Genomic DNA, 10,284 nt, shown 5'->3' on the forward strand with positions numbered 1-10,284 from the left:
ATGGGCAAGAGCCACCATACCTGGCCTCAGAAGCAGTTTTTAAAAGCAAACACAATATAACACCAAAGTTGAAAAATCTATGCTCACCCAAGGATGCCAGGTTTAATAAATTATTTATAGAATACTGCATCAAAAATAAGACAATAACCCAAAATATACCATTAAAGATGTATCCACTCCTACAACTGGAGATAATTAATCTATCTAGTAGCAAATGATACTTCAATCAGTTTCAGCATGTCTGAAATCTTTAAGGACAAAAGTGATAAAACATGACTTCATTCTTCATTAGACTCTTAGAACACTTGAAGGAAAATAATTTCTGAAGCACAAAGAAGTAAAGAGGTGTAATCTTTCAAAAAGATATTCAGTGTTCAAAATCCAAGAGTGCAATATCAGGCTGGGTGCGGTGGCTTATGCCTGTAATCCCAGCACTTTGGGAGGCCATGGTGGGTGGATCACCTGAGGTCAGGAGTTCAAGACCAGCCTGGACAACAAGATGAAACTCTGACTGTACTAAAATTACAAAAATTATCCAGGCATCGTGGTATGCACCTGTAGTCCTAGCTACTTGGGAGGCTGAGACAGGAGAATCGCTTGAACCTGGGAGGTGGAGGTTGCAGTGAACCGAGATCATGCCACCTCACTCCAGCATCAGTAACAGAATGAGATTCCATCTCAAAAAAAGAAAAGAGTGTAATATCGGTATACACAGATAATATACTGAATGAAACAAATAGAATAATTTGAAGAGGTATCTTGATGAACAAGGAGTCATTAGAAAGGTTGTATTCATGTCTTTGAAGGAAATTGCAATGTGAGAAATTAATACTTTGACTACTATACTAAAAGTTTATTGCTAACATGTATTGAGTTATTAACGTGTGTTAGGCAGAGTACCATATAATTTACAAGTGTTATCTCATTTATTGTAGGTAAAATGTAATTTCGAACTCTGGGAGTATAAATGAATTAGATAGAATAAAATTCTATTTAAATGGCCATCAGTAAATCGGTATCTAGGAACAGGGTGATACAGTGCCCAAGTTTTCTATTCTTACTAAATGTTGTGTTTCATTTTCAATGTTTTCTTGGATATTGCTCTTTTTTGGTGATTTTGATTTTTTTTATTTTAGAAAACTAATAAATTGACTCTTCTTGGTACTGACTCGGGTTTTATAGAAGAAAAAGTAATTAAATTATGTATATTTACCTTTACCTCATTTTTTCTCTTTTAAATTTACTTTAATTGACATATAATAAATGTACATGTTATGGGGTACAGAGTGATATTTTGATATATTTATGCAATGCGTAAAGATCAAGTCAGAGTCATTATCATATCCATTACCTAAATCATGTATTATTTCTTTGCAGTGAGAATATTCAAAATCTTTTATTTTAGTTATTTGAAAACACACAATAAATTCCCATTAACTACAGTCACCCAGCAGTGCTGTAGAGAACTAGAACTTCTTCCTTCTCTCCAGCTGTAATTTTGTATGTATTAACCACATTTTTCTTATACTCTTCTTTCTCCTACTCTTTCCAGGATATGGTAACCAAAACTCTACTATCTACTTCTACGAGATTAAAAATTTTAGCTTCCATACATAAGTGAGAACACGTAGTTATGTGGTGTTTATGTTTCTATGCCAGGCTTATTTCACCTAACATAATGCCCTCCACTTGCATTCTTGTTGCCACAAATAACAGGATTTTGTTCTTTATTATGACTAAATAGTATTCCATTATATATGTATGTCACATTTCTTTATCCATTCATCTGTTGATGGACACTTTTGTTGATTCCATATCTTGGCTATTGTGAATAGTGCTGTAATAAACATGGGGGTGCAGGTAAGTCTTTGATATACTGGTTTTCTTTCCTTTGGATATATACTGAAAACCATATGATTAAATTAATAAACACAATAAAAGCGTTTGGCAAAATTAAATATTCTTACATGACAAAAAACCTCTCAACAATTTAGTATAGAAAATATATGCCTTAAAACAGAAGGACATAAAGGACAAATCTACAACTAAGATCATACTGAGTGTGGAAAAGGTGAAAGATTTTACTGTGAACAAGAAAAAGATTTTACTGGAACAAGAAAAGGATGCCTATTCTCACCAATCATATTTCACATAGTGAAAGTCTTAGCCAGGACAATTAGGTGAGAGAAAGAAATAAAGGACATCTGAATTGGAAAGGAGACAGTCAAATTGTCCCTGTTTAAAGACAATGTGATCTTATACACGGAAAAAAATAAGACTCTACCAAAAGCTTCTTAGGGTGATACATGAAATTAATAAAGTTGCAGGATATAAATCAACATACAAAAATCAGTAGCATTTCTATATATTGATAGTAAACTAGCTGAAACAAGAAATTAAGAAAGCAATTCCTTTTACAATAGCTACAAAAATGTACTTAGAAATAAATTTAACCAAGGAAGTAAAAGATTTCGACAACAAAAATGACAAATATTAATGAAAGAAATTAAAGAAAACACAAAAAAGGAAAGACATCCACGTTTATAGATTGAAATAACTAATATTCTTAAAATGACCCACTATCCTATGTGATTTACAAATTTGGTACAATCACTAGCTTGTATTTTTAAAAGCACCTTTGTTGCATATTCTTAAGATATTCAATGACAATGCCCGGATTTAAGTTTGAGGTATTATTATATCTATTTTATACTGGGCACAATATAATGTTATCAGAGGTAACGGTTTTGATTGGTCCTAAGTCATACAGTAATATATACATTGTGATTTATAGACATGCTATCTTTTAATACTCAGGCATTTAGAAAGTTCATTTAGACAAAGTTATAAAACCTTGCCGTCCTTTCTGCCTATATCACCTAAAAATCCTAATTTAAGAGGTAATAACATTTTTTATTTGATATACAATTTATCAACACAACAAAAATCTAACAATTATCATGTGCAGAGTGTGAAAATCTCATCAGATTAAGGAACACAAAGACATCTTTTTCATATTTCGAATGTAAAACTGTTTTGGAAACTGTTATTTTTAGAAACAGTTAAAAACATTTTTTCATTAGTTTTTCATGTAAAATTGTGACAACCAGCATGAAATAACTGTCATCACAGAAGCATGGTATATTCGATTCCAAAACATATTCTTTGTAAGTTTTAATATATTTATGTATTATTTATACTTAGATTGTAACCCATAATGTACAGATATTATTTTTCCTTCAACTCTTAAGAATATTCTTAAATAATAAAATTAAAATTAATGAATTATAATTTTTGTTGCTTGGGAAAAAGAATAGACACACACGTGACAGTGCATCATTTCACCCCATCATTTCATCTCATCATTTCATCTCATCATTTTATCTCATTTCATCTCATCCCATCTCATCTCATCATTTCATATCATCTCATCATTTCATCTCATCATTTCACCAAATCTCATCTCATCTCATTTCCATTTCATTTTCATTATTTCATTTCATCATTTCATTTCACTATTTCATTTCATTTCATCTAATTTCATTTATTTCATTATGTCATTTCATATAATCTCATTTCATCTCATCTCATATTTTTGATATCATTTTTCATATCATTTTTCATCTCATTTCATCTCAATTCATCTCATCATTTCATCTCCTCATCTCATCATTTCCTCCTTTCATTACAACATTTCATCTCATTTCTTCTCATCTCATTTCAATTTCATTATTTCATCTCATTTCATTATTTCACCTAATTTCATTATTTCATCTCATCTCATCTCAGTTCATCTGATCTCATTTCATCTCAGCATTTCATCTCATCAGTTTTCATCTCATCATTTAATCTCATTTCATTTCATTTGATCTCATCATTTCAGCTCATTTCATGTCACATCTATTCATTTCATCATTTCATTTCAAGATTTCACCATTTCATCTCATCATCTCATCTTTCAATTTCATTTCAATATCATTTCATCATTTCTTTTCATTTCATCTCATTTCATTATTTCATTATTTCATTTCATTTCAATTCATCTCATCATTTCATCTCATTTTTCATCTCATCATTTTTCATCTCATCATCTCATCATTTCATCTCATTTCTTCTCATCATTTCATCTCATCATTTTATCTCATTTCATCTCATCTCATTTCAATTTCATTATTTCATTTCATTTCACTTCATTTCATTTCATCTCATTTTATCTCATCTCATTTCATCTCATCATTTCTTCTCGTCTCATCTCATCATTTCATCATTTCATCTCGTTTCATCTCATTTCATCTCATCTCACCTCATATCATCATTTCATCTCATCCTTTCATTTCATCTCATCGTTTCATCTCCTCATTTCATCTCATCTCACCTCAGCATTTCATTTCACCTCATCATTTCTTATTTCATCTCATTTTATCTCATTTCATCTCATATCTCAATTCAATTTTTCATTATTTCATCTCATTCATTTCATCTCATTTCATTACATCTCATCATTTCCTCTCATCATTACATCTCATCTCATCTCATCATTTCATCATTTCATCTCATCATTGCATCTCATCATTTCATCTCATTTCATCTCATCATTCATCTCATCATTTCATCTCATCATTTCCATTTCATTATTTCATCATTTAATTTCATCATCTCATTTAATTTCACCTCATTTCATTATTTCATTTTTTCATTTCATTATGTCATTTCATTTCATCTCATTACATTTCGTCTAATTTCATTTCATCTCATTTCATCTCATCATTTCATTTCATCTCATCTTTTCATCTCATCATTTCATCTTATCATCTCATCAACTCTTTTCATCTTATCATTTCATCATTTCATCTCATCACTTCATTTCATCTCGTATCTTCTCATCTCATTTCAATTTCATTTCATTATTTCATTTCATTATTTCATGTCATCTCATCTCATCATTTCATCTCATCACATCTCATCATTTTATCATTTTATTTCATCATCTCATCATTTCATCTCATCTCATTTCAATTTTATTTATTTATTTCAATTTCATTTCATTATTTCATTTCATTTCATCTCATCAGTTCATCTCATCATTTCATCTCATCATCTCATCTCATCATTTCATCTCATCATTCATCTCATCATTTCATATCATTTTATCTCATCTCATCATTTCATCTCATTTCATCATTACATTTCATCTCATTTTATGTCATCATTTCATGTCATCATTTCATCACATCTCATCTCATTTCATCTCATCATTTCATCATTTCATCTCATTTCAACTCATTGCATCTCATCTCATTTCCATTTCATTATTCCATTTCATCATTTCATTATGTCATTTCACCTCATCATATTTCATCTCATTTCATCTCATCTCATCATTTCATCTCATCATTTCATCTCATTTTATCTCATCTCATCTCATCATTTCTTCTCATCTCATCATTTCCATTTCATTTTCATTTCATTATTTCATCATTTCATTATTTCATTTCATCTCATTTCATTATTTCATTTCATTATGTCATTTCATTTCATCTCATTACATTTCATCTCATTTCATCTCATCATTTCATCCATCATTTCATTTAATTTCATCATTTCATCTCATGATCTCATCTCATCATCTCATTTCATCTCATTATTTCATCTCATTTCATCTCATCTCATTTCATCATTTCATTTCATCATTACATCTCATCATTTCAACTCATCTCATTTCAATTTCATTTCAATTTCATTACATTTCATAATTTCCTTTCATTATTTCATTTCATTTCATCTCATTTCATTATTTCATTTCATCTCATTTTTCATCTCATCATTTTTCATCTCATTTCATCTCATCATGTCATCTCATCGTTCATCTCATTTCATCTCATTTTATCTCATTATTTCATCTCATCTCATCTCATTTCAATTTCATTATTTCATATCATTTCATTATTTCATTTCATTTCACCTCATCATTTCATCTCGTTTCATCTCATCATTTCATCATCTCATCATTTCATCTCATTTCATCTCATCTCCTTTCAATTTATTTTCAACTTTGTCATTTCATCTCATCATTTCATCTCATCATTTCCACTCTCCATTTCATCTCATCATCTCATCTCATCTCATCATTTTGTCATTTCATCTCATCATTTCATCTCATCTCGTCATCTTATCATTTCATCTAAGTGAAATGACATAATGGAATCATGAAATGAAAGGGATAGGATGCCCTCAGTGATGTTAAATTTAAAAATTGTTTCTTTTCATGCATGCATTTTTATATTTATATGTATTTATATTTATATTTACTAATATTTCTTTTTACTTATTTTTATTTATATTTTTACTTATTTCTTTATTCATAGACAAGGTCCTGTTCTGTGGCCTAGGCTGGAATGCAGTGGTGCATTCACAGTTCACTGCAGCCTCGAGAAAATCTCCCACATTAGCCTCCCAGGTAGCTGGGACCCCAGGTGCGCACCACCACACCTGGTTAATATTTTATTATTTGTAGAGATGAAGTCTTGCTATTCTGCCCAGGCTGGTCTCAAATTCCTGGGCTCAAGCAATCCTCCTGCACTGGCAACCCAAAATGCTGGGATGACAGATATGAGCCACAGTGCCCAACCTATTTATTTATTTATTTAATAAGGACAAGGTCTCACTATGTTGCCCAGGCTGATCAACTCCTGGACTCAAATGATTCTCCAAACTTGGCCTCTCAAAATGTTGGGATTACAGGTATGAGCCACCATGCCTGGCCTAAAAATAGTATTATATTTTTGTATCATATAATTTTCAATTAGGTAATATGAATATTCTGTACAGGAAATACGCCCTTAATTACATAGGAATAAACATTTGTTACACTGAGAAAAATCTAATAGAGCTAAAAATAAAAATTAATTTGGAAAGGTAATTAGATAATGATACATTCTTACATTTATACATTCTTTCATATATTCATATATTCTTTTAACAGTATCAATGGTTTGGAGTTATGTGTACAAAACCATGACCTATATGTAATACAACTAATAACAGGCATTTACAATTCAAGGCATATTATATACAAAGCTTTAACTTCTTATCAAAATATTTTGTTTTTTTTCTTTCTGTTTTGGCAGATACTATGAACACAACATTCAACTCACAGACACCATGGAGCCCTTACTAAGCATAAAGTACTGTGAAAGGCCAGGGCTAGGACAGAACTAAGACAGGGCCAGGGATAGGACAGAACAGGGGCAGGGTCATGGCCAGAGAAAAACCAGGGGCAGGGTCACGGCCAGGGACATGAGAGGACCAAGGCCAGGGCCAGAAGCAGGGCAGAACCAGGGCCAGGGCAGGGACATGGCAGGGCCAGGGCCATGGCAGGATCAGGGTCAGCAGAAGGCCAGGGCAAGGCTAGGGTAGCACAGGGCCAAGGCAGGGCAGGGTCAGTGTAGAGCAAGGAACGGGTCAGGGTATGGCAGGGCAGGGACAGGGAGGTCCAGGGCCAGAGTCAGGTCCAGGACATGGACAGGACAGGGCCAGAAATATGGCAGGACCAGAAAGGGGACAGGGCAAGGGCAAGGCCAGAGAAGGACCATGGAAAAAAACATGGCCAGGGAGGGTCCAGGGCAAGGGCAAGGCCAGGGCAGAACCAGAGCCAGAGCAGGCCAAAGGCAGGGCCAGGGCAGGGCAAGGCCAGGGTAGGGCGGGGCCAGTGTAGGGTGAGGGTAGGGCCAGGGTGAGTTCAGGGCCAGGGCAGGACTAAGATAGCACAGGGCCAAGGCAGGGCCAGGGCAGGGCCAAAAGGAGGGGCCAGGGCCAAGCATGGCCAGTGTCAGACCTGGGGATTGTCAGGGCCAGGGTCAGGGTCAAGGCTGGGCCAGGGACAGGGCCAGAGCAAGGCCAGGGTCAGGGCAGAACCAGGACCAGGATAAGGCAAAGCCAAGGCCAGGGCAGGGCAAGGCCAGGGCAAGGCAAGACCAGGGAAGGGCAAGGCCAGGGTAGAAAAGGCCAGTGTAGGGCCAGGTCAGGGTAGGAGAAGGCCATGGTAGGGCCAAGGCCAAGGCAGGGCAGGGCTAGGGTAGCACAGGGCATGGCCAAAAACAGGGCAGGGCCATAACAGTGGCAGGACTAGCAACAGGGCCAGGGCAAGCGCTGGACCAGAGCATGGTGGGGACAATACAGGGCCAGGACAGACGATGGCAAGGCAGGTCCAGGGCCATTTCATGGACTCGGTAGGCCTGGGGTCAGGCCAGGGCAGGGCAAAGGCAAGACCAGGGAGAAGGCAGGGCCGGGGCCAAGGCAGTGCCAGGGCAGGGCAGGACCAGTGCAGGGCCAATGCAGGGTGAGGGCAAGGCCAGGGCATGGAAGGGCAGGGCAGGACCAAGGAAGGGCCAGGAGAGGGCCACGGCAGGGTCACGGCCAGAAGAAGGGTATGGCTGGGGTCAGGAATATGGTAGGACAAGGGCTGGGCCCAGGCTGGGACACGCAGGGCAGAGCATGATCTATGCAAGGCACAGCCAGAGCCAGGCCATAGAGATGGGAGGGCAACACCAAGGCAGAGTCAGGGTAGATCCAGGGCTGAGCAGAGTCAGGGCAGGTCCAGAGTAGAGGCAGAGCTAGGGCCCAAGCAGGGCCATGGTAGCACCAGGGCAGAGGAGGGCAGGGCAATGCAGGACTGGGCCATGGCAGTGCCTGGTCAACTCCGGGGCAGGGCCAGAAGCAGGACAGGGCCAGGGCCAGTGCTCAGGCCAGGGACAGGGCATGACAGGAAGTGCCAGAGCAGGGCTGGACCAACGTTGGGGCAGGGCAAATCAGACCAGGACACTTCCAAGTCCATCTCTGGCCCTGCCTTGGCCCTGGCCCCTTCCTGGCCTGACCTTGTCCCTGGCCCTGCCCTATCCATGCCCTGTGTGTTTGACCAGTGTTTTATAACCAGAATCCTACAAGAAACTTAAATTAGTTCTTTTTGTGCATTTTTAGTAGAGATGGGGTTTCACAATGTTGCCCAGGCTGGTTCCAAACTCCTGAGCTCAAGCCATCTGCCTGCTTTGGCCTCCCAAAGTGCTGGGATTACAGGAGTAATCTGGCCAAGTATTTAACTTCTTTATGCCTGTTTCCTACATTTGGAAAATGGGGATGCTTTAAGTACCTAGCACATAGAATTATTGTGAGAATCAATGCCTCACATATTAACATATTGATAAAATTATACTCATAGAACACTACTGGAAGCAAAGATAGTATTAGTTAAAATTTAGTGATTACTGCAAATATTATTACTGTTACAAACATTATAGTATAGACATTACTACTACTACAGTTATCTTAAAAATCTAAAATAAAAATTTTACGTAATAGCCCAATGTAATCTCTCCTGCTCTGTCCTGGCTCAGCCCTAGTGCCGGCTCTGCCCCTAGTCCTACTACATCCCTGGCCCTGACCCTTCCCTGGTCCAGCCGCTGCCCTGGCCCTTCCCATCTTCAGGCCTTACCATGGCCCTACCCTGGTCCTGACCCTGCCCTGGTCTGGTCCTGACCCTGGCCCTACCCCAGAGAAGGGGTATGGCAGAGCCAGGGAAGGGCCAGGGCAAATAAGGGACAGGACACACCCAAATCCAGGAAAGGGCCAGGGCCATGACAGAGCCAGGGCGAGTCCTTGGCAGGGCCAGGTTCCAGGCCAGGGCCAGGAAAGGGTCATGGCAGGGTCACTGTATGGCCAAGGTCCAGGCCAAAGCCAAGGCAGTGGCAGGGTCAGGTCTGCATAAGGGCAGGACCAGAGCCAGTGATACGGCAGGGCCAGGGCCAGGGCCAGGGCTGTGCCAGGACAGAACAAGAGCAGAGCAGGGCAGGACCAGAGCCAGGCCATAGAGAGGGTAGGGCAAATGCCAAGGCAAGGCCAGGGTAGTGCCAGGGCTGAGGCAAGATCAGGGAAGGTCCAGGGCTCAGTCAAGGCTAGAACCAAGACAGGGGCAAAGGCCGGGGCAGATCTAGGGCACAAGCAGGGCAGGCTAGGGCAGGGCAATGGCAAGACCCGGCCATGGCAGGGCCAGCCCAGGATAGAACAGGGCACAGGCAGGGCAGGGCCAGGGCCACGGCTGGGGCAGGACAAGGACCAGGACTGGGGTCCAGGCCAGGGCCAGGGTATGGCCAGGGCAGAGGTAGGGCCAGAGCCAGGGTCTGGGCAGGACCAAGGCAGGTCTATTGCAGGGCCAGGGTTCAGACCAGGGCCAGAGCAGGGCTGGGACAGGGCCAGGGCCAGAACCAGGAAAGGGCAATGTCAGGACAAGGG

General features: G+C 39.3%; 1 pseudogene, besides 1 other annotated feature; it reads right to left on the bottom strand.

The window, feature by feature from the left end:
- Nucleotides 1-7,701: 7,701 nt before the first annotated feature.
- On the bottom strand, nt 7,702-8,557 carry LOC107985797 (MAPK-interacting and spindle-stabilizing protein-like; annotated as a pseudogene).
- Nucleotides 9,795-10,284: an enhancer, noted in NCBI's record as "OCT4 hESC enhancer chr2:91744009-91744510 (GRCh37/hg19 assembly coordinates)". NCBI's record gives its function as "activates a minimal SCP1, AML or CMV promoter by ChIP-STARR-seq in primed H9 embryonic stem cells {active_cell/tissue: H9 hESC(primed)}" and the evidence as "EXISTENCE:reporter gene assay evidence [ECO:0000049][PMID:30033119]".

This window comes from Homo sapiens, chromosome 2, assembly GCF_000001405.40.
Source record: "Homo sapiens chromosome 2, GRCh38.p14 Primary Assembly".
Taxonomy (NCBI): domain Eukaryota; kingdom Metazoa; phylum Chordata; class Mammalia; order Primates; family Hominidae; genus Homo; species Homo sapiens.